This window comes from Homo sapiens, chromosome 5 (assembly GCF_000001405.40).
Source record: "Homo sapiens chromosome 5, GRCh38.p14 Primary Assembly".
NCBI classification, from domain to species: Eukaryota; Metazoa; Chordata; class Mammalia; order Primates; family Hominidae; genus Homo; species Homo sapiens.
The window spans coordinates 7869033-7892664 of record NC_000005.10 but is presented as its reverse complement, the minus strand read 5'-3'; the positions used below and the strand labels follow the sequence as shown (position 1 = coordinate 7892664).

The 23632-nt window shown below is 40.1% G+C and overlaps 1 protein-coding gene across 26 annotated transcripts in view, besides 3 other annotated features; it reads right to left on the bottom strand.

The window, feature by feature from the left end:
• The window catches only part of MTRR (5-methyltetrahydrofolate-homocysteine methyltransferase reductase), a 50255-nt gene that overhangs the window by 8449 nt on the left and 18174 nt on the right, over nt 1–23632 (bottom strand). For 3 of the 26 annotated variants that reach the window (XM_047417233.1, XM_024446064.2, XM_047417234.1), the window contains 9 exons: nt 21742–21895; nt 19139–19292; nt 17290–17407; nt 14343–14721; nt 9388–9510; nt 6811–6964; nt 5962–6050; nt 3390–3570; nt 1251–1293 (listed from right to left, as the gene is read on the bottom strand). In XM_047417233.1, the coding sequence (XP_047273189.1) occupies nt 1251–1293; nt 3390–3570; nt 5962–6050; nt 6811–6964; nt 9388–9510; nt 14343–14721; nt 17290–17407; nt 19139–19292; nt 21742–21870 (1370 nt within the window). In that variant the 5' untranslated portion in view covers nt 21871–21895. Of the gene's footprint in view, nt 1–1250; nt 1294–2252; nt 2405–3389; nt 3571–5938; nt 6051–6810; nt 6965–8801; nt 8942–9387; nt 9511–14342; nt 14722–17289; nt 17408–19138; nt 19293–21741; nt 21896–22608; nt 23518–23632 lie in introns of those variants that run through there. The other 23 variants (NR_157176.2, NR_157175.2, XM_047417235.1 and 20 more) reach the window with 23 other exon arrangements.
• Nucleotides 23015–23064: a silencer, noted in NCBI's record as "silent region_15906". NCBI's record gives its function as "represses an Ori minimal core promoter by ATAC-STARR-seq in GM12878 lymphoblastoid cells {active_cell/tissue: GM12878}" and the evidence as "EXISTENCE:reporter gene assay evidence [ECO:0000049][PMID:35858748]".
• Nucleotides 23125–23174: a silencer, noted in NCBI's record as "silent region_15905". NCBI's record gives its function as "represses an Ori minimal core promoter by ATAC-STARR-seq in GM12878 lymphoblastoid cells {active_cell/tissue: GM12878}" and the evidence as "EXISTENCE:reporter gene assay evidence [ECO:0000049][PMID:35858748]".
• Nucleotides 23185–23624: a silencer, noted in NCBI's record as "silent region_15904". NCBI's record gives its function as "represses an Ori minimal core promoter by ATAC-STARR-seq in GM12878 lymphoblastoid cells {active_cell/tissue: GM12878}" and the evidence as "EXISTENCE:reporter gene assay evidence [ECO:0000049][PMID:35858748]".

The window sequence follows — 23632 nt, the reverse complement described above, 5'->3', positions numbered from 1 at the left end:
CCAATCCTTTTATTCAGTTTAGAAATATTTCCTTATAGGCTCTAATCTACCTTCCAAATCCTCACAGAGGAAAGCCATTATTACGTAATTAAAAACTGCCCCCAACCTTCACACTCTCACACCCTACATTTTGTTATTCAAGAAAGTTTCCAATTTTATTTGCTTGCACTAGGACTAGATGATATTTATAAAATCTAATATGCCCTAAGGATCTTCATGTAAAGGATTCATTCACTCAATATTTATTATAAAGATGTGAAGAAATGGGGATAAATTCTAACAAATATCCATACATTATCTACTGGTAAGATCATAAAACTTGAAAGTGACTGAAGTATACACCCAGAAAGGAGAAAACTAAAAATTCAAAGTAAAAACATCTTTAAAAGACATCCCTACAAAAGTAGATTTCTTTTCACATTACACGGTAAATAATGCGAAAGAACTTGAGTTCATTCTTAATTCCCCTTTCAACCAAAAGAATGGTGCACCTTCTTGTATTATTACTGAAAGGCAAAACAGAGAGCCAGACGGGAAAACGGTAGAGGCTGTGCAATGGAATGAAGGCCACAGGGAGAATCCTATAAGCCAGTGCTCATCAAATATTCTTTTTTTTTATTTTTTTGAGACAGGGTATCACTGTCGCCCAGGCTGGAGTGCAGTGGCTCGATCTTGGCTCACTGCAAGCTCCGCCTCCCGGGTTCACGCCATTCTCCCACCTCAGCCTCCCAAGTAGCTGGGACTACAGGCGCCTGCCACCACGCCCGGCTAATTTTTTGTATTTTTAGTAGAGACGGGGTTTCACCGTGTTAGCCAGGATGGTCTTGATCTCCTGACCTCATGATCCGCCCGCCTCGGCCTCCCAAAGTGCTGGGATTACAGGAGTGAGTCACCACGCCCGGACTCATCAAATGTTTTATAGTGGAACTTTTCTGTCTCCCCTGCCTCCGGCTGCCACTCAGTGAAGGTGGCTGGGCACACGGACACAGGAAGCATGTGGAGGAGCCTGAGACTCCTAAGTGGGGAAACATAGTACTGGGCCATGGGAAGCCACCCAAGATGTTAAATTCTATGAAGTCCCAGAGGACAGGAGCTCTATGATTCTTCTTCTGCTTTATTATGCCTGGTACTGTCTTCCATAAAGCAGGTAAGTTTTCACTGAATAAATTAGTAAACTCTAATGATCTGGAAGCCTGAGTCTAAGATTTTGGAGAAACAATGCTATATATTACGTGAATAAATAGTAGTACCTTGCACACGAATATGGTCTGGGTTGAAGTTTAGGAAGATGTTCTAGAAAAAAATAAAAACAAGCAATTATTAATTCACTACTACTGAAAATAACCTTACCTAAAAAAAAAAAAAAAAAAAAAAATTCCATGTCTTATTTAGAATACTCAAATCATGTTCTAGTTTTAAATCATAGTTAAGCACTTGAACTTTGTGTTCAAGTAAAATATTACTATTTTTTCTTTCAACTCCTAAAGTTAAAAACCAGATAAGATGCATTTTCTTACTCTTAAATCAGTATTTCTACCCAAAGGCGAATTTTAAAAGCAAAGGCTTCTAGGAATGGGTCCATAAGTTGGCTTCAGAGGTGAGGAGCTCAGCAAACCCTTACTAGGTATATGTGCAGTTTTCTGCAGGGAGGTGCGCAGTTTTCTGCAGGGAGGTGCCCAGTTTTCAGATTTAAAATAAAGTCATGATCCCAAAAAGATTAAAGGCTACTCTTTCAAGAATTACTGAAAATGCTTAGGCTTGAAATATTTTCCATCTTACATTTAAAATAATTAAAGTGTTTGGTTTTTAAAAATTTATCAAAAAAAATCAGTGATTTCAAAATACGTAGGTATTCTTTCAAAAGCAGGTTAAATAATCTGTATTTAAATATTGAACTATCCACTAATAAACTTTGAAATGTTTTATGTTTTGGTATGTTTTATTTTTAGCAGTTACTTAATTGAAAATATGAAAAGGTCTATGTATAATGGCGTAGAGTTTTAAACATCAAAATAAGGTTTAGTAGGGTGTTCAACTTAATATCAAGCTTTAGATATTTTAATTGTTCTTAATTAGAAAATAATATAATTTTTTATAAGTCCCAATGACTTTAATTTTTTTATATAACTACGTAATGTGGTATTGTTACAAACATTCTAACATTCTAAAAGGTAACAAAAAATCTACGAAAAGAATTGAAATAAATTAGTATGCGATAAGAGAACTTTCTAATACTACTTAGAACTCCCCACCCTGTGTTCTGTCATCCTATTCCTGCTGATGGTTCTCGAAGACTTCACTGAAGAGGGTGAGAGGGCCAGCCTGAGGACAGGATGGTGAGAAGAGCAGCCTCATTCAGCAACACGGTCTTAGCATTTTGGGGAGGTCCTAAGTGGAAAAAACACTAAGAAAAAGGAGGAGAAATCAGGCCCTGACTTGCAAAGAAGGGTGCCTTTAATTGTACTGGGCATCGAAAAGGATCTTGCTGGCCCAAGAGTAAAAAGGACAATATACATTTTGGTGTCACCAAAGAAAAATGCAAATGTTAAAGGCATAACTACTTACCACTATGGGAAAGGAGATGACAAAGTTACAAGCACAAGAAAGTAATAAAGGCTTTGAAGTCCTATAAAGCGCTTAGTCTTCACCCCTAGCAAGCATTTTCAATCCCTTCCTGAGAGCCACAGAGAGGTCCTAGGACATCGACTGCTCAGGGACAATGCTGAGGTCTCTTCTGTTGGAGTATGAGGACTAGAAGAGTCACTCTGGGCAAAAAAATGGGTTACTCTTCATCTGAAATGGGATGATGGTTCTCTGCCTGGCAGTACCATGAGTATGTTGATTTGCACTGGTACGACACAGTCCCCTTTTGCTCTTGAAGGACCCTCGATCTGGACTTGCTCAGATGGGGGCATTTCTGCATTCTGCACACAGCACAGACTGCATCAGCCTCTTTCAATTAAATATGATGTTCGTTAGCTTTGAAAAAGAAAATTTTATAGGAAGCTCATTTTTAGACATTTAGCTAAACAACCTTTCTGAAAAAAGTTAAATTAGAAAAGATGCTCAATTCTGAGCCAAAAAGAGAGTAACAACTGACTCTATTAAGAGAGAAAATGATAGTGACACTGCTGGAAGGAAAAAAAAGAAAACCAAAAGTCTGGAAGGGGAATTCTGTGACTTCTGGAAGGGCACACAGATGTCACAGCACCCTGAAGACAAGATATAAGATGTTTACTTACCAATCACCACCATTCATTTAGATATATTCTTTAGGCATAGGATACAAAGGGTAAGACAAGAGCAGCAAATTTTCTTTACTACAGAAAGGTGGCCCGCCTACCAGTGCACGAACAGCCACCAAGGTGCTTGTGAAAGCGACTACTCACCGAGCAGGAGACTGAGTGGTGGCTGGCAAGAAGGGAAAGCGAGGAGGAGATCCAACAAGCAGGCACAGGCATCTCGTACAAAGCGGCTATAATCGGCTGCCCCTTGTTTACTGCACAGCTCCTGTAGCCTGCGCTTTTCAGCACTGTCACTGGTATAGTCCACAAGGGCTCGCAAAAATGCCTACAAAAAGGAGCCCGCCTTAAATTGTGACACAATTTGTGGGTAGAGCTATTAGAATATTCAGTTAAATGTCTGCCTAGGGATGCACCCAATTACCCAAGAAAAAATGAGAAAGCCACTAGGAGCTATTGTCAGGAGGAGGGAATTTAATTTACCATTTGCTTTAATGTTGACCTGTTAGAAAAATTCCACAATATAAATAAATAAATAAAACTAATAAAATTCTGAATCTCAATTCTCAAAGTCTAAATTCCTGAACAAAACATCAAACTTGCTAGTAAGAATTTTTTATTTCAATGCAATTACAAGTTATTAATTACAGGCAGACATAGCTTATTTCTCAAGGGCTCTTTAGGAACAAAGCACTTCAGTAATTATCTGCATCAAATGTTATGTGAAATGCTAATGGGTACTGCTACTTTAAATTCCATGGCTCAAGATGATTGTGTCCTGGACTTCCTTAACAGGGAGGACAAAATCACTGTTCCCAAAGGAGTCACAGGTTTCCAAAGGTTTGGCTGAAGAATCTCTGTCTAAAATACCTGGACACTAACAAATTACACGTGTTCCTCCAAGTGCCAAACTCAGCATTGACCAAAAACAACGACTCAGGAAACACTGCTGAATGGACGCCCCAAATCTCTGCAAAGACTTTGGCAAGATAATAAAAACATCTACCAATAACAGTTTGTAAATTCTAAAGCCAATACAATCTCCTAAATTAAAAGCTAAAACAGTGACAATTTTTCCTTTAACATACTTTTTTCACTTTAGAACTACAAAAACTTTATGGTACTACAACAGGAAATACTGCACTGTTTTTGGAGAACAAGATGACAAACCTGACAAACATTACTACAATTTAAAATGTAAATATTTTTAAAACAGCAATTCTACTCCAAGGAATTTGTTTTACAAATATACTTCAAGTAAGTGTTCAAAAATTAATACAGTACAAGAAAGTTTGCCTTTTTTAATAGTGAAAAAGCAAAAATGACTCAATTGCCCATAATTACATCAACAAATAATGGTGTATCCATAGTATCCATTAAAACTCTTTCCATCCTGAAATATACAGATTCTTGATTTAAGTTAAAAAGGCAAGTTATGGAACAGCACATATAATATGGATACCCATATTTTCCTCAGGAAAACAAAATTCAAGTGTTAACTCAGAGGGTTTGATTATAAAATACTTTGGTTTCCTGGGTTATTTCTGTATCCAGAATTTTTCCAATGAGCATACTATTTTTGAAAAAACCCATATATATATATATATATATATATATATATATATATATGCACACACACACACACAAATATATACATACACACACATATATACACACACATATATATACACATATACAGACATACACACACACTTTACACAAATTTTAAAAGGGTAGAGCTGAACCAAAATTGTGACTTAATCGGTAAGCTTTCATTACAGTAAATTAATTCTAAATACTCAAATTACATCTCGAGCTGATTACCAGGAAAGGAAGATGGAATATATATATATATAAATCTATATATATATAAATATACATATATTTATTTAGAGAGCTGAGCCTCTCTCTAAAGTACTTTACTCACCCAAGACTAGAAATGCAATAAACACATTAATAAAACGACACGAAAACCACACTGGGGAGATGGCGGCCTAATTACAACACTCTTTATGCTCACTGACAATACAAGTGTGGCAAGGCACATTTGAAAAATTGTATCCATTAATGGCCACTTCCGGGAGCTGGTTAGAAGAAATCAGTTACAAGTAGTTTTAAAAAAACAGTTCCTGGTACAATACTGACATCTAGTGGATTATTCTACCTCCAAGTTCACATAATAATTGATTATTACCTACCAAAACCCTTCCATTTTTCCTGAAGCTTTCTGTTACAGCAATAAATAGTTATGTAGTATTACACAAAGTAGATCTTAACAACTGTAGGAAGTGGCAAGTGGTGGTTGGGGGGAATCCTACGCTCTCATTAGCTTTCTGTCACCAATTAAAGAAGGAGCAGCAATGTGTAGCTGGGTAACACAAGGTCAACTGCAGTCACCTCCATCACTGTGGAATGTGCTACGTAGTTAATAACTAGTAAAAGTAAGACAAAGAAAAAGCCCTATTTAGACTAAGAAAAAGCCCTATTTAAGCCCTCATTTCAATAGAAAACAAAAATTTAAATGCAAATACAACATAAAAAGATTCATAGATGATAGTTACGATGATAGCACACACCCTTGGGAACTAATATTAAAAACATGCTATCAAGATCACATTTTTTAAGACTGCAAAGGGCATATTCTAAATTTGTTTAATCAATCCTAAATAAAGCTAAGCATATTTTAAAATAGTTACCTGAAGAAGACAGAAAAAAATACCTTTTTAGGAATTGCTCGGATTTCAAGACACCAGGTAAAAATGAACTGGAGAGAACATCCCGCAGGTATATGCTGGGGTAAGGTAGCTCCTTTTCAGGTAAAGACGGGAAAGGGGTTCATGACATAGAAGATGAAGAATAAAATGTTTTACACACTCCCCAAAACACAATTACTGTAGTACTTTACAGCGCATCAAAGTGCAACATGACTTGTGGCAATGTTTATTCAGCCAAAAAAATTCCCCAAAATGAATACAGTAAAAAACTCCACCTTACAAAAACATAAGAAGACTATAAATTCAAGATAGGCCAAATAAAAGAAAGGAAAATTATTTAAAATTAAGGAAATGAAAGCTAAAAAGACAGCAGTACTCCATTAGCATTATTCTTCTCAAAAAATCAATTTAGGACTACTTCAAGATTCTAAGTAAATAATATATTTATATTTTGAAAAATAAATAACTTCTCTTAATTATGGAAAAAGCAATTATTTTATATAATAAATGAGCAAAAACAAACATACTATGAGAAGTAAACATAATAGGAAAAGAATTTTTAAAAATAACCTAGGCCAATGCTTCTCAAAAACTACATTTACACTCAGTTTTCATGTCCACAAATGTCCAATAATTAGAACATCCATTATCTTCTTATTCAGTGCAATTAACATGAAAGTTAAGAAACTACCAATACCAGCGTATGCCTGTGTTCCCAGACCTTGATGCGCAGCTGAGCCCCAGGCATCTGTGCGGCCAACACACAGGACCCTGAACCTTAGAGCCACACTCTCACCATCAGCTCCAGTCCACTGGCCCACAACACCCCAACGTCACAGCATCAGGGCTGTTACCTTTCTTCTTTGTGTCTGCCTTTATTTTCAAAAGGACGCAGTGCTCTCTTTTATCTTCAAGCTGCAGTCTTTGGAGTAGGCTTTGTACCTCAGAATCACTGTTAGGGCAGATCACGCTGAAGGCATCTCCAGGCTGATAGGAAAAGTCTGTATTCTAGAGAAGAGCCAAAATGAAAAAAAAAAAATACATTATACGTGTTACATAGTTTAAGCTGTAGGGTAACAAAAATATAGTTTTCAATATTATGATTTTAATATGTGAACTCAGAAAATAGAATTTCAAAAAAAAAAACACACAATTGTTTTAAAAAATAAGCCCAACTAACCAAATAAACATACTTTCATTATTAGCAGTTACTATTAAAACGAAATCTGGTAGTTACCCAGTGTTTTGCCTTTTATCATACTTAAAGAATGGAAGTCAGACCTTCCTTGTTCTCTACAAAGTAAGGTCCTATGGTGTTTTCAATAACCCATGTAAATATAAAAATCCCTCTTACAAAAACATACATGCACACACACACGAAAACATACATTATGACCAAAAGAAACTAATTATGGTCAAATGCATTGGTTTTCAATTTTCTTCTCCTTACTTTACTCTTTTCCTTTAGGGGACAGGAAAGGGTACTTTATTTCCTTAAGTATAAAACATTACACTATCTGGCTCGATACTGGTTGTGAGCAAACATGGGCTGAAAAAGTCACCACTTCCCAAGTCAAGTCTATTACTAGGCCCATTGCCTCTAAGCCCCAGAGTGATACAGATGCAGGCCAGGGCTCTGGGGAGGAGCCTCTCACAATGACACAAGCTCACATTTCTTGCCAGCAAGGGAGAGAGACTGGACTAAGCACAGACCAACCCTTGCCTCTTTATGACAAAAATGTAAAATACCAGAATAAAAAATATTTTGGTGTACATAGTATTAATATTTATGGATGCAAAACCATCTAGTTTTGACACATTGTATTTTTTTCTGTTAGGAAGTTTGATTAAATCTACACCAACAGCCTTAATGTGCCCTTGCTTTTCTGAAAGAATAACCCACTTAACCTCTCAAGACTTTCATAAAATAAACGGTTGAGCTAAATGACTTTGAAGAGGTACTCAAACACTTATTTTAGGATTATCAGTCAGTTTCTTAACCTAAGGTCAATGGATTCCAGCAGGGTGTGGAGGGTAGGAAGGGGGCCCATGGAGGGGGTGCATCGAGGCACATCTCAGACTAAAACTGTACGTAAATGTTTCTATATACAGTTGGCCCTCCATATCCTCAGGTTCTCCACCCTCAGAATCAACCAAACCTGAATGGAAAATATTTGGGACGGAAAAAAACAATAAAAAATAACAATAAAAATAATGTAAACTTAAAAATACAGTATAGCAACTACTTACGTGGTGTTAGATACTGTAAGTAATCTACAGATGACTTAAAGTGTAGGGGAGGATGTGCATAGATTATATACAAATACTGTAACATTTTACATAAGGGACTTGAGCTTTGAGGATTTGGGTATCTGAAAGGGGTCCTGGGACAAATCCTTCGAAGATACTAAGGGACAAGTGTAATCATTTTTTGGGAGAGTCCATAATTTTTTCCAGATTCTCAAGAAATCAAAACCACTGCTCTGAGGAATTAACCCTAACCTGCCTGTCTGGGTTCTATTTCTTTTCTTTTTTTAAAAAAATTGAGGCAGGGTCTCACTCTGTCACCCAGGCTGGAGTGCAGTGGCACAATTACAGCCCACTGTAGTCTCAACCTCCCAGGCTCAAGCAGTCCTCCCACCTCAGCCTCCCAAGTAGCTGGGACCATCGGTACACACCACCATGCCCAGCTACTTATTGTATTTTTTTGTAGAGACAAGGTCTTGCCATGTTACCCAGGAACTCCTGGGTTCAAGTGACCGCCTTCAGCCTCCCAAAGTGCTGGGATTATAGGCGAGAGCCACCTCGTTTGACCTTAGGCTCTATTTCTAACTTCCTGGCTGACCTTAGTGGACAGCTTCCTTTCCTGGGCCTCTTATATATAAAATGCTGTTCTGATCCCATTATTCTTTCATGGCTTATTGAGTAAGCCAGCATCTTCCTCTCAGGCTGAATCTCCTCCAGCCATTCTTCCCTAGTCCTTCCCTGAAGTGGAAAGAAAATAGGTGTGAAAATAGAAGAGAGAAAAAAATGATGGGTCAGGAATAAAATGGCAAGATGTCCTGTCAGAGACCTCTCATTCTTCTGAGCATGTATAACCAAGCACCACACAACTCAGCATACATAACCAAGCACCACACAACTCAGCATATGTAACCAAGCACCACACAACTCAGCATATGTAACCAAGCACCACACAACTCAGCATATGTAACCAAGCACCACACAACTCAGCATATGTAACCAAGCACCACACAACTCAGCATATGTAACCAAGCACCACACAACTCAGCACATGTAACCAAGCCGCACACAACTCAGCATATGTAACCAAGCAGCACACCACTCAGCATATATAACCAAGCACCACACAACTCTTTCTGCACATCCTGACAATATTACTGTGCTGAGAAATAAATTTTGCAACTTACTGAAATGTCCAATTCTACCAGCAGAGTGGTTTTTATGGCATCATTCGTAGTAAGTTGAACTGCCTTTGAAATTGGCACTTGAAAAACTGGATCTGCTGAAGTCACAGATACTTGGCTTTCCTCCTTGAAAAACAAATGTGACAAAACGTAAGTGCAATTTTCAATTATACCCTTCTTTCAATTAGTGACTACGCAAGATCCACAGGGGCTTACAAAACTTCCTGGCTACTCAGTATTCATTTCCAAGGTAAATGAATGAGGGCAGATATATGGAGCTAGCTTTTCAGAAGAGAAGCTCAATTCTATCTCAAACGCTTTATCTATTAGACATTAGAATTTCTGAAATACAAATAGAAAATAAAAATACTGGCATGTTCATGTAAAGATCTAGTAGTTTTCCTAATAAACTACGTCAAGGGAAACAGAATGTCTGCAAATGTTTCAGGAAGGAGAGATCTTGAAGAATGTGACAGATGTTTAAGAATGCAACATGTGTGTAGATGGTCACAGGAACCCCCTAGTGTGGGGCAATGCTGTTCATATGGCTGCTGAAATATGGCTGGTGAAATACAGGTAGTGTCACTAAGAAACTAATTATTAATCTTAACAAATGTTCATTAATTTAAATTTGAGTAGCTATATGTGGCCAGCAGCTCCTGTACTGGACACAGTAGGTCTTGGAAAACTGCAAAAAATCCCAGTTCTTTATAATACTCCCTACTCCTTTTCTATATTCCTAAGTTTAAAAACAAAATATTTTAACAGTACTAGTCAATTAACTGTGGATAAGTGGCTATATGGGAAAGCTGGGATGAAGGTCAGTTCTGGGTGTCTGGGAGCCATAATGTGGGGGTACTGAGATGTACCCCTAAGAAGACTGCCTTCTGCAAAGGCTATGGCAGTGCTGACAATGACTACCTCTGCCACCTGAAAGAAACACTTCAGCATTCTTAGGTCACACCTTACCCCTGCCCACACCTCCTTTCAGAGGCAACCCACATCCAATGTCTCATCAAAGACTACAAAGGTCCAGCCTCTTCGTTCCAACTCAGGACAACTCTGAAGACCCACCAGCTCCAGAGAACCCTGTGGGATTGGCTGAGGCCTTTGCTGAGACTGCACAGCAGCTCAGCTTCTCACTGTGCCCAATCCTGCTTCCATCCCTCCATGCCCAAAGATGATGCTGTCAAGAGGATGCCCTAAAAACATCTCATTGTTTGACTCCTGGGAACCAGCCTGTGACAGTCAGTGCCAGGGTAGCCTGGGAAAGATGCTAAAATGGAGTCTAGAGCTGGATCATCTGCCTGTTTGACAATGAGAACACCACACCAGTGAGAGAGCAGACAGACGGCACTGGCACACAGCAACAATGCAACCGTAAGTAGCAGGGAGTGCCAGTGGAAGCAAATGCATCACCTTGCAAGATCCATCAGGTGCTTGAGAACTAGAGAGAAACAGCAGAAGAGAAGACTGGTGGGACTTGGGGGGCTACTGCTAAAATTCACTCGCACTTGAAAAAAAATGCAAAAAGCTTAAAGGACAAATCACCAATTAAGAACTAAGTAAAACTAAAATAGAACTAAGCCAGGGGACATCCTCAGGAGCTTAGAAAGACACAGTCATCTCATGCAGCCCATGACAGTGAAGGCAGAGAAAGCCAAGGACTAACTGGGAAAAAAAATCTTGAATACTCAGATTCCCTTAAAAATCTTGACTACCCAGAACGCCTTAAAAATCTTGACTACCCAGATTCCCTTAAAAATCTTCCTACCCAGATTCCCTTGAACTCTTTGAGCCTGCAGATGTGGCCAGTCCCTCCCATGAAGAGTAAGAACTCCCTTCTCGCATCTGGATGGTGTAAGGACCTCTGCCCACAGCACATGCCTGTACCCCCACTACCACACCCCATCCCCTCTTCTGGTTGCTAGACCAATAACTGGGGTTGTTGCGACACACTCGGCCACTAAAGCACTGGGCTAGCTAAGGAAGGTAAGGGACTAACCCCTAAGAAAGTATACGACAGAGCACTATGCCCCCACAGGAGCTAGGAGAGAATGCACACAACACAGCTGAGGTCCTAAATTGAGGAGGGCAGAACACAGATGTAAAAAATGGGCAGCCCACAAAGGCACTGGATCAATCCTTACAATGAAAAGAAATCAAGGAGGCATGTAAAAGGAGCTGTAGGCCGCTGCTCCAATAAAAACGATCCTTTGCCCTGTTTCCAGACCTGCAACCCACTGACTGTAGGAGAGAAGAGGTCCCTAGGAGGAGGGACTGTGAGACACTATAGAAACTGTACTTGACAATGGCTTCTGCAGTCCTTCTCCCAAAGGGGAAATGTACACTGGGCTAAGGGGAATGTGCAAACATTCCAGGGTCTGTTAAGAGGGGGTTCAAATGAATGTTGTTACCCAGGGACCCAAAGCATCAGCATAGCTCATCTATGACAGCAAGGCACATGGGGGCCAGGCGGTAAATGGCGTCCTGGCCCAGGACCTCCAGTGGCCACTCAGCAGCTGGCACAGGGCAACACCGAATTATTGGCCTATGACGTTAAGATCTATCATCATGGGGAGGGCCAAGAAGAAGTCTCTGAATTTGACGCCATCCTCCTCCCTAAACACCAAGATAGAACAAGAGAAACAAAATAGCATCCTGAGAGAAATGACATCCTTAAAAAGCTGGAGGACACAGGGGATGGTCTCTATCGTATCTCCATTTAATTCACCAGTTTGACCACTGCAAAAACCACATAAATCCTGGGGGATGACACTGAACTACTGGAAACTCAAACAAGAAACAGGTCCACTGTAACCTCCGTGCAAGCTGGTTTTCCTTAACAAAGTAGACTAGCATGGCCTCAGGTACACGGACAATGATTTAGTCAAAGTGCTCCTTCCCAACCCTATCACTAAAGAGGATCAGAAACAGTTCACTTTGCGCTGGAACAATGTATAAATTTACAATTATGCCCCAGGGCTATCATAAGTCCTGCCTGCTGTTATAAGAGTCTGAATAAATGTGGAACACCTGCAAAGCACCACACTAGCCTACTCTATCAGGGGCATCGTGCTATCAGACTGAATGAGCAACGAGGAGTAGCCAGGACAGTGCGGTCTTTGGTAAGACCCATGCCCTATGCAATTAAAGGGCCTGCAGTGCCAGCACAATTTTTAGGGTTCTAACAGTTTGGTGCACGTCAGGACATCCCCTCCCAAGTGAAGGCCACACTAGTGCACCTTGTACCTCACTTCTAGAGAGAAGCAGAACCACTGCTAAGTCTCTTCAGGATCTGTGGGTAGCACATTCCATACCTGGGAGGACTGCTGAGACCCAAATACCAGGTGACAGAAAAGGCCACCAGCTTTGCGTGGGGCCCAGAGCAGGAGAGGGCTCTACAGCAGATCCAAGTGACAGTGCTCGTTAACAGGTCCTGCCGCTCTACCACACAACCCAGAAGACCCTCTGGTTATTAGAGGTAATACTTCCACATGGCAGAAAGGTACCATATGGAGAGGAGCTGACTGAGGCCTTTGTTGAGACTGCATCGCAGCTCAGCTTCTCACTGTGCCCAATCCTGCTTCCAACCCCTCTGTGCCTCAAGGCAATGGTCCCAAGAGGATGCCCTACAAAACATTCTTTTTTTCCCAATTCTTTACTCTCTCAGTATATTATTTCATATTTATATTGTCTCTCTTAAGTACTTCAGATTTGTTAAATCTTTTAACTACATTATTAACAACTCAAGCCTATTTAATGACACTTTCTATTAAGAAAAAACCCAGAAACTTTTTTTTTTTTTTTTTTTTTTTGAGACGGAGTCTTACTCTGTCGCTCAGGCTGGAGTGCAGTGGCGCAATCTTGGCTCACTGCAACCTCCGCCTCCCGGAAAAAACCCATAAACTCTTAACAGATCTTCCGGCTAATTTAAAACTCCTAGTCAGATTAATGATTAATCTCTATCCCCGCTGCCATGAACTGATCCTGTCTGTGGTGCAACACTGCACTCTGCTCCCACCAGTCCAGGCATAAGTTGTGTCTGTTCCCAAACCAGACTGAGATACACTTACTGCAATTATCTCACTTAAACAATTCACAAAATAATGAAGTACAAGTGCAAAAACAATAGCCCATAGTTGTTTATACACAAAATCATACTTACATGAAAGCTTTAGAAAGACATTATAAAAGATGCTAAAAAAAATTGCTATCATACCAGGTGTTTACAAACAGTGCTAATATACAAGAAAGATGCTGCATCCAAATTATTTCTTAAATGTCTAAATCTGTCTTCATTAAAAAAAACAAGAAATTAAAACTGGTAATAGCTGCAGTAAGGGTGTGGTTTTTGTAAGAAAAGTCCATGTGGAACTCCAAACAGCCACTCAACAGAAAGAGGGCTTAGCCCTGCATTCAAAGACTGCCTGCTCTGGAAACTTATTTTAAGCAGGTTAGAAAAACTTCAGGGTACCATACACTGCCTGTGGGGAGAAATTAGCTATTATGCAATGTGATACTCAACTCACTGCCCACACAACTCATCTCTGTTTGACTCATCTAAAATGAGAAACCAAGTTGTTAGTTCTCCAAAATAATGATGAAACTGAGTTCTTATCTACTTCTTCAAATACAGAAGTAATAATACAAGACCTTTTGTAATACCTGGGTGGGAAAACTTTTACTGGAAGGGGCCAAATGCCTTAGGCATTGCAGGCCCCTGTGGTAACCACTAACTCTGCTATTGCAGCTCAAAAGCTGTCATAGACACTACCTAAATGAATAGGCATGGCTGTGTTCCAGTAAAATCTATTTACAAAAGAAAGGCTCTGGGCCACATTGGGCCAGTAAGCCATAGTTTGTTGACCTCTCTTCTAATGTAATAATAATTTAAAAGCCCAAAGCAAACATCCATGATTAAATAGCATCTATAGCATAAAGAAAAACTTCCTTACCTGGCCAAGAGACTCCTGCAGATGTACCTGTAAATATTCTGGGGGTAAACCAGGAATATTCAGAGAGGCTTGTGAGAGTGGGGGTACCGAACGGGTAAGTGAGGACTCAAAGTCTTCAATTACAACATTGGATTGGTTGCTGTTCACTGCATTTTGCTTCAAAACCTCAGAATCCTTTCTTCCTGAATCATCGAATCTCAGAAGCTCGACTTGAGATTCAATGTGTAGCAGCTCTGACTTCACAAGGTCTGTCCTCGAGGATGCAGGTGATGCCACCGGGAGTGCGCCACTTATCTCCTCTTGTCCTCTGCTTGACCTAAAATGCTTTCTGAGGGCTGGCCAGAGTCCAGCAATCCACGGCTCAACCACAAGTTCTAAACTGGACAGTAAAAACAAACGAAAAACAAAACAAATGCCTAAGTTCTCCATCTGAACACAGAACAGGATAATGACAGTCTGTCCATTTGGCAAAGTATGCACTTGTTAGAAACACTATGAAGACCATTCGGAATACAAAAAATACTTCATGATTAAGTTTTAACAAGCAGGATATATTATGTGTTCATTAGCACCGTAGCTGAAAACATGAGTATGTATAAAGGTAGAAGAAATGAAGAGGGATAGGAAGATATTCTAGTAATAGGATGACAGGAATAGAATTCCTCCTAATATTCCAGAATTGGTAAACTTTATTTTAAGAAGATATAATTTTAAATAGGCATACTAATGCTAACAGAACTTAACCAAAATCCAAGGCTACCATAATGCTGCAAATGCTCATTCCATCCATCAAATGCACCTTTTTTTTTTTTTTTTTTTGCCTAGCCAATTTACTGATCTACTGATCTGTTTCCTACAGATTAAAATATCACCAAGAAATCACTATGGATTAATGCCAAGTCCTTGGACTAAATAAATAGTTAAAGCCTTTATTTATTTTTTTATTTTAGTAAAATTCCCAGGGAGGCTGACAACAGGAGAAAAAAAAAGCAACCCTCCTTTGGGAAAGTTGAATTCATCATAAATAGATTTTTTAAATGTGGCAGTCCACCTACTACTAACAAATTATCATAACAACAGCCATTCCCTGAACAGAGAAGTTTAAGTAGAGTCAGTGGATAAGACTGTGGCAGGGCTGTGGAAATAACACCACTTTTAATCACAGCTCAAAGGAGGATCAATTAAATTCTAATTCCTAAAGCGAAATGAATACCAAGAGGAGGCAGATTTCAGGCCCGTGTGTCATTATGACTCAGGTTGTCATTTCACTGTGCTCGGGAGGTGCTCATGTGGTACACTACTCAAAATGTGGTTACACATTAGAGCTGCCCTGAGGAGCCTTTGTGAAAACAAGTTTATAAAACTACAGTTCAACAATAACAGCTACATGTAAAATATCACTCTCACAACTCAGAAATATTAAGGTGATAGTGTGCACAACCAGGAGGAGAACTAACGTTCACTGAGTGTTTACTACATGACGACAGGCACTCTTCTAAGAGGACGACATGTATTAATCCGTTTGACCCTCCTACGAAGCTTACACAGTAAATAGATTACTGTTATCTATTGCACAGAGGCAAAAACCAAGGAACAAAAAGCTTAACTAATTCAACCAAGATCTCAGTCAGTAAGTGGGGGATCAAGGATTTGAACCCAGGTATTGGACTCAAGTGTGCATTCGTAACCCCATTTAGTGTGGTGGCACATCAAGCAAGAATGTCTTGAAAATATCTTCATTTCAGAAAAAGGAAAAATTCAAGTAAGGTAGTTAGGTTGAAAATCTAAGCACTATAGTCTACTGAAATATACAGTCAAGCATTTCAATACTTACACCAATAAATCAACAGAGAAAATGAAAGCCTTTGAAGAGAAGTGAAATATGGATGAGTGATGGGCCTAATGGATGACACAAGCATTACATTAACAGTTAAACACAGCTCATACAAGACTGAGCATTTAATGTCAATGAGCTTCTGGCAAAAGAAAAAAGCTCAATATAAAGGTACAGAGCTAAAGTGAATTCCCAAGGAAATGTCACAAAGCTTTGTCACAATCAGGAAGAATATGTGTGCTGGCGATATGGAAAAAACCCATGGCATCAGAGCTGAAGGGAAAGACGGAAGAAGTGGGCACAGGGTGAGTTCAGCAGAAATACAGTATGCCGAAAAGCAAGACATTTGCTGAATTTGTAATTTTCTCATAAACAGATTATTCAGTAACATAGTGAGTGAAAATTAAATTAACACATGGACCTACTAGAAAAAAATTAAGGGTGTGTGCTGTTATCTGGCTAAAATAGTTGAAGGCTAAGTAAGTTATAGGACAATATCTGTAGGACCACTGAATAAACACATCAGGATGATTTGAAAGGTGGCACAATGGGTGAAATACTGACTTGTAAAAACAAAAATAAAAGTAATGAAAAGATAAAGTATGCGTCTGTAAACGTCTGATTGGCATGGTGGCAAATGGCCGTTCAGACGGTAAGAGCACGCCAAGCAATGCAGCCTGCAGCGAAGGCCCACAGACCTGTGTTCTCTAACAGCGAAGTGTGGCTCACCAGGCTCCCTCCATGTAAAGAGCCCAATCCAAAGGCTCCACGTGCATGGCAGAGAGAAGCACATGCACGATTAAAGTTCCTAAAGAACAAGCTGATTTCTGCAAATACCTACACTGTTTAAAATAAAGATAACTGTACTGGAGCACCTTTTCTAACTCTTGCCGTTAGCATATACTGACAAGGATGAGATGGACACAAAAGAAAATCAGCAAAATAGGTAAATCAATCTCTGGCTGACCCTCTTGGATCCTAAAGCTAAAAAAGCGAACAAAAGTAAAACATGAGGAAAATTTCAGTGTTAAGTGAAAAGCTGACATGTTTTACAAATCAACTTCCATCATGTATAGAGGGCTTATTGGAGTAAACAGAGAACACTGCCCTTACCCTACACAGTCATCTGCATGTCCAGTGTCATAGAAATGCCGGGCTCCAAGCTCTTGAAGTCGTTTATCAATTATCTTCCCCCCATTGCAAAAGTAGGTGTATTCTGAATCACCGAGACCTAGAGAACCCAAATACATAATTAATGCACAATAAAGTTTAAATTTAAGGACACAAAGACTAGGTAAATAAAATATCTAAAATAATACTATTTCATGCTCTTATGGATGGAGTAATAATGCAGAGCTTCACATTTTATTTTCCTTGAGTAATTCTATGCATGTAGGCAGTTTTCTTCTATTTTACAATATAAAAGTAGCAGATATAATGAAACAAAATACTTATTGGCCGCTGTTGAAAGAAAAGACTTCACATTTTCATCTCCATGACTATGTGTAAAAATATAGAAATCTTAAAACAAGGATCAGACAGGTTGCAAAACCACAATATCTGTCATCTGTACATTTTTTCTGATACTGAGCAGGGGTCAGCCAACCATAGCTTCTGGGACAAATACCATGCACTGCCTTTCTTTGTAAATAAAGTTTTATTAAAAGACAGTCAAGTCCACTTGTGTACATATTATTCATAACAGCAGCGTTGAGTAGGCCTGCAAAGCCTAAAATATTTACTATCTGGACCTTCATAGAGTTTACTGACTCCTGATATAGAAAGAAAGGTACACCAGCCATATAAATAACCACAATTAACAATGTGGTATGTTTCTGTGTTGGGGAAATCAAGAATTGCTTCTATGTCTCATGGTGTAAAAAAAAAAAAAAAAAAAAAAGCTTAAATCCCTCAGTTGTGCAGGCATCTCCATGTTCTTTCTCTACAAAAGGGTGAGAAATGAGTGGTTCCACGCTTAGGCCTAACATTGACTCGAACAGTGGGACAGGCTTCTGTTTCTGTCTTTTCTGGATTTTCAAACAAGTATGTGTTCTCTCTTTGAAAATACAGAAAGTATAAAAACTTAAGGTAAAAAAAAAATTATAAATACTGTGAAATACTCTCTTGAACATGTTATATATGACAGATCATTGCCAGGGTTACAATCTCAAATTTCTAATCAGTTATTTATTATACTCAACCCATCCTTGCTAGATACCCTCTCCAAAAAATAATCCTCAAAGATAAAACAACATAGGTCACAAGTCAGGAATGCAGACCCTCAATTCCCCTCTGGTATCATATTGTGCTGATCTGGTTCTTTTGATCCTTTAACATTTTTAAACTATGGTTCACAGAGTCCTAAGTCAGTTTTTCTTAACCTGGGATACATATGTTAGAATCACCTGGGAGCTTTTAAAAATAACGATGCCAGGGCCCTACCTTGGAATAATTACATCAGAATCACTGGAGGTGGGCCTAAGTCATATAATTTAGTAAAAACTCCCCTAGCTAATCCTGATGTGTAGCTGGGAAATGAAAATCATTCATTCTGGGAGAATCGTTCTTAGAGAAGTTATCAAAATCATTGGGAGTGTTTTGTTTTGTTCTGCTTTTCTAAATGGAGGAATGGCATGAGGGGTTGCTTCTTCAAGGACTGTTTCAGTAGGTTTAGGATGAGGCCCAGCCACTGCTATTCTGAAAATGTTTCATGGCTGCATCTGAGGTGCATCCTTAATTAAAATGCTACTCAAGAGGTTCTGCAGAGGTGTGGCTCTGGGGTAAAGTCTGGGGAAGATTCAGAAAAGGTAGCACATTACATACATTTATATATACATATACATAATATTTACATAAGAAAGACAAAACCTATATGATCACACTTCATAGTTCTGAAAGATAATTCAGATACCAGAGATATCAATAGTATACTATAGTAAGATCAGAAGAGAGAGTCCATTACCCAGTAACCCATACCGCAGGTGAGCAAAGAAATCAACCGGCAGTGTTTGGTTCTGTATTTCCTTAACAAACTTGCGGGCTGTGTCGGGTGGGTCTCCGGTGCCCGTGGTAGAAACCACAACAACAAGAGGAGCTGTTTCGGTTTTTAGGTCATACTACAAAACAAGGATATCAAGTCAGGGACCTAACACTACATGCATTTTTGATTTAACTCAGCAGCAAAGCAATCAGCTTAGTTTCCTGTCTTGTATTTCAATCTTCTTCCTTGCCAGTTTTTTTGAGACGACCAGTCCAGTGACTAGGCGCTCTCAGCTTAATCAATTTGCCTAATGCAGGATGTCATTCAAGGAAACCATGCGTCTGTTTTGTTGATGCTCATCAAGAGGTTGGGGGGGATTAACACGTCTTTCTCTTCATGTTGTGTACGAAAGGCAGGGACAGGCACAGACAGTACCCATCCCAGGTTTCCATCTAGTCCCAGTCTTTCATTTTTAGAAAAATCAGAGGAAATAGGATATAGTCAACTCTTTGCCACTGAGTCATGGGCCAAACATTAACATGAGCTCAAATCTGCAAGGCAAATCAGCACTGCTAAGAGCCAAGATGAGGCACCTAGGCACTGTGATGAGCTGCCAAGGAGGAACAGCAGCTAACTGGGTGGAAACGTCTTTTCATAAGAAAGTAAAAAAAAGCAAGGAAAGAGGTGTTAAAATGGGGATGGGGAGACTCAGAAATAAAGAGAACTGATACATAAGCACTCAGGATTAGAATGCCAAGACAAGGAAGCAACAAGTAGAATACTGTGGTAAAGAAAAACAGCAATAAAAACACAACAGCTCTGAAATCTTCAGCAAAATATAAAACCAGCCATGTGTACTGCATGTGACACTAAGGCAGAGGGATAACAGGGCATTTTAAAACTGGGAAATTAAAAGTGTTACCCCTTCTAAATCAGGGACCTGGCTATCAAGAACCGCTCATTCCCTCAGGTTTCCAGAGAGCTGAGAATATCATTAGCTATAAGCGAGCTACAAACTCTTACAAATCAAGTTTATTCTTATTCTCATGTAAGTTTAAATATTTCATATAGAGCATTTCACTGTCTTAACTCTGAGAATATCATTAGCTATAAGCTGAGCTATAAACTCTTACAAATCAAGTTTCTTTATTCTTACTCTCGTGTAAATTTAAGTATTTCAAATAGAACACTTCCTTGTCTTACTTGTAAGACTCCACAAGCTTTACTGCCCATGAACACCATCGAATTTGGCTCCAAATAATTCACCTTATTTTTCACACTGATAAAAGAGGTAACAACTTAACTTTTTACCGAAGTATTTAATGCTTCCAAGACTCTATGTAAGTTGTGTGTTAAACTCTACATACAGAGTTTGTATAAGTAATGTCAGTACCTTGAAAAGGACTATGTGAAATAGGAAGGATATTAGATTATGAACAGCTAGACGAAACCATCAGCCAGGGAGGATAAATAGCATGACTATCTTGGTGTTAAAAAAAAAAATTCACCATTCATCTGACTGCCAAAACACCTGCTGATCAACTTACTGAGGTCAACCACAAGGGGCCAAATCAGGACTAGTTTTATGATACTGATGGCTTTGGTTTTGTCCAAAGTAACAGATTCAGATACTTCATCATGTGGCACTGCAATCTGAACTTAAGTTACTGTAGAATGACAGAGTCTGCTGACTGGCAGTCTCCTCCAGGAAGCTCCCTTTTCTCTGGTGTCCAGAGTTACCGTGGCAGGGCTGCATAAAGGAACTAGGTGAGTCTCCTTCCGTGAGCTGGGTTTATAATTCACTTGAGCTGCACACAGTCTAGTGTTCTGAACTGGAGTTTTAGGAAAGGCCAGAGAGGGTTGTGCACTTGGGTGAGAGAGCACTGGCAGGACAGTCTCTGAAATGTTGAAGTGAATTTTAACTGCTTAGCGGCTGGCAAATCATCTTGTGGTATAAAGCCCCTGCCAACTGTTATCGCCTGAATTGTCTGAAATAGTATAATCTGGAGGCAGCAAACTAAATAAAAGAACACAAGATGGTAAAGTTGCATATACCCTAAGGTAGGAACTTCTGCAGAGACTGAACATAAACAACTAGTCCCTGAAGAAGCAGCCGAGTTTTTTCCAGATCCTTACACTACTACTTTAAATTCTATTTCACAAAAGAATCTAGGCGGTCCTTCATCAGGAGGAACTCTAACACGCACGGCAAGGCCTTTCTTTTGGGGAAAAAAGTGGGACACTGAGATTCAAGAGGTGGAAAGCACACCTGAGCAGGCAAACACACATCTCACTTGTTCTCACAGCCACCCTGTGAAACAGACACAGCATATGCTACTTCTGTCATTTACAGTTAAGGAGTTGTTACTTGTTTCAATTTTTGAGACCATTTAGTCTAATTCAACTACACACTTCTATATTAAAAAAATGCTGGTGATATCTTACTATACCATTGAACAAACACATTTCTGTTAAAAAACAAAGACTATGTGGTGGTATTAGTGTCCTTTTGTTTCATAAATATCACTTCCCAACCAAAATTCTTCAAAGCACAAAACGGTAAAATCCACTGTAACGGCTCTAACCTTATCGGATTCACTAATACAGTGAAGATCTGCAGAAAATCCATGTACCACAGCTTGCTCACATATTTCTTCTGCGATGGCCTTTGCCTGTCCCTGCTGTGTAGCATATAGTAACAGAAACCTCCTCATCACTTCAAGGCATGTAACAGTGAAACTGAAAAATGGGGGAAAAAAGATCCTCTTTTTAATGAAGCAGTAACAACCTAAAGATATTAATTCTCCCTCAATCTTTAAGAAACAATGCAACAATACCCACACATAATATGAAATGGCCTTTTCTAAATTTGTTTTCAGCACTAATCTCAAATGAGCCTAAATAAGAATTCATCAAATTAAGGAGAGTGTACGAATGAAACTCTAATTCCATGGCTCAGAAATCAGATGATCGGCTCGAAACTACTTGGGCTTGAATCTGTGTTTCCTAAGTGCAACCCTGTAGACAAGCTCCCCAAATGATCCGTACCACAGCTCCTTTATCCTAAAAATGAGAGTATTACCACCTACCTGAAAAACGATGTGGCACAAGCCAAGAACCTGAACAAAACTTGAGCCACAGTATCATTCACAACAGTCTTAAATAGCTTTTGGTTTCCTCTTTTTAAAAAAAGATAAAAGTAAAAACTATATTAAAATGATAGGATTCTTGGTTCTTATTTGATCCTAACGCTAAACAAACTAATCATAGTACTAAAGGTAACTGAAGCACATACTCTCCTTCATTATTTAATGCAAATCAAAAATATGTGAGTGTATGGGCATATATACAAACGGGTGCATATAACGAAAAAATATTTCCAATCCACTTAAACATTTTACTAACACGTTTTTCCGCAAGAGATAAGCAGTAGTAAAACAAACGACACTCACAGATTTTTTTCCATACTCATCTAACGGCTAAAATTGGTGGGCTGTCAATTTGCAGAGACAGATTTAAACTGAAACCCAAACCAAAAGCTTGGCTTTCGGTGAATGAACCGCCCAGAACGGCACCTGGCATGAAACTGGTACTCGATAAGTTATCTGAATGAGTGAATAAACAATATGAAAACACTACACATTGACAGCTCACAGAAAACGGTGGAAACGATAATGAAAACCTTACTACAGCTAAAATTTCTATCACTTCCCATGAAACACACATCCTGAGGGCTTCCCAGGATCAATCAACCCCTCATCCCTGCTACTGCCCCACAATCCGGCACCACCTTCCCACGACTCTCAGCGGAGGCCCGGGCCCCAGCAGCCCCGGAAGCGGCGCGGAGGCGGTGGGCAGAGCTCACGGCCGCGGGCAGAACTCACGGCCGCGTCCCGCCGGGTGGGCGCTCGGAACGTCCCGGGTTCCCCGGAGCGCGCCGCCCCAACCCGGCATGTTCCCCAGTTCCCCGCGTCCCCGAGTGCGGTTTCCCTAGGCCTGGAAAGCGCCTAGAACCAAAGGCAGAACATGAGGAGAGACCCCACGCCGCCCAGGGGCCTCCCGCGGCAGAGGCCGACGCCGAGCCCAAGGACACGCTCCCGGGGACACCAAAGCCAAAGGCCAAAGGCCAAGTCCGAGCCCCAGCCCGCGCCCGCGGCGACCCCCGGAGGCCGAAGGGCGTGGGAACCACGGGCGCAAGCCGGCTGCCCACCCCCGCCCCGGGCCGCCTCTCCCAGGAGATTAGTGCAGGGCGAGCGGCCGGAATCCGGGAACCGTAGCCGACAGGCAGCTTACCCACGCCGCGCCAGCCGGGCACGAACCTGCACAACGCGACTTCCACCAACCTTGCGCCAGCGCGCACTGACGCAGCGCCCATGCTCGGTACCCAGGACCAATAGAAAGCTCCGAAGGGGACCTGGGCCAATCACATTGCGCCGCCCTGAGTCGTGCTCCCGCCCCGCGTTTGCTACGGAGGCC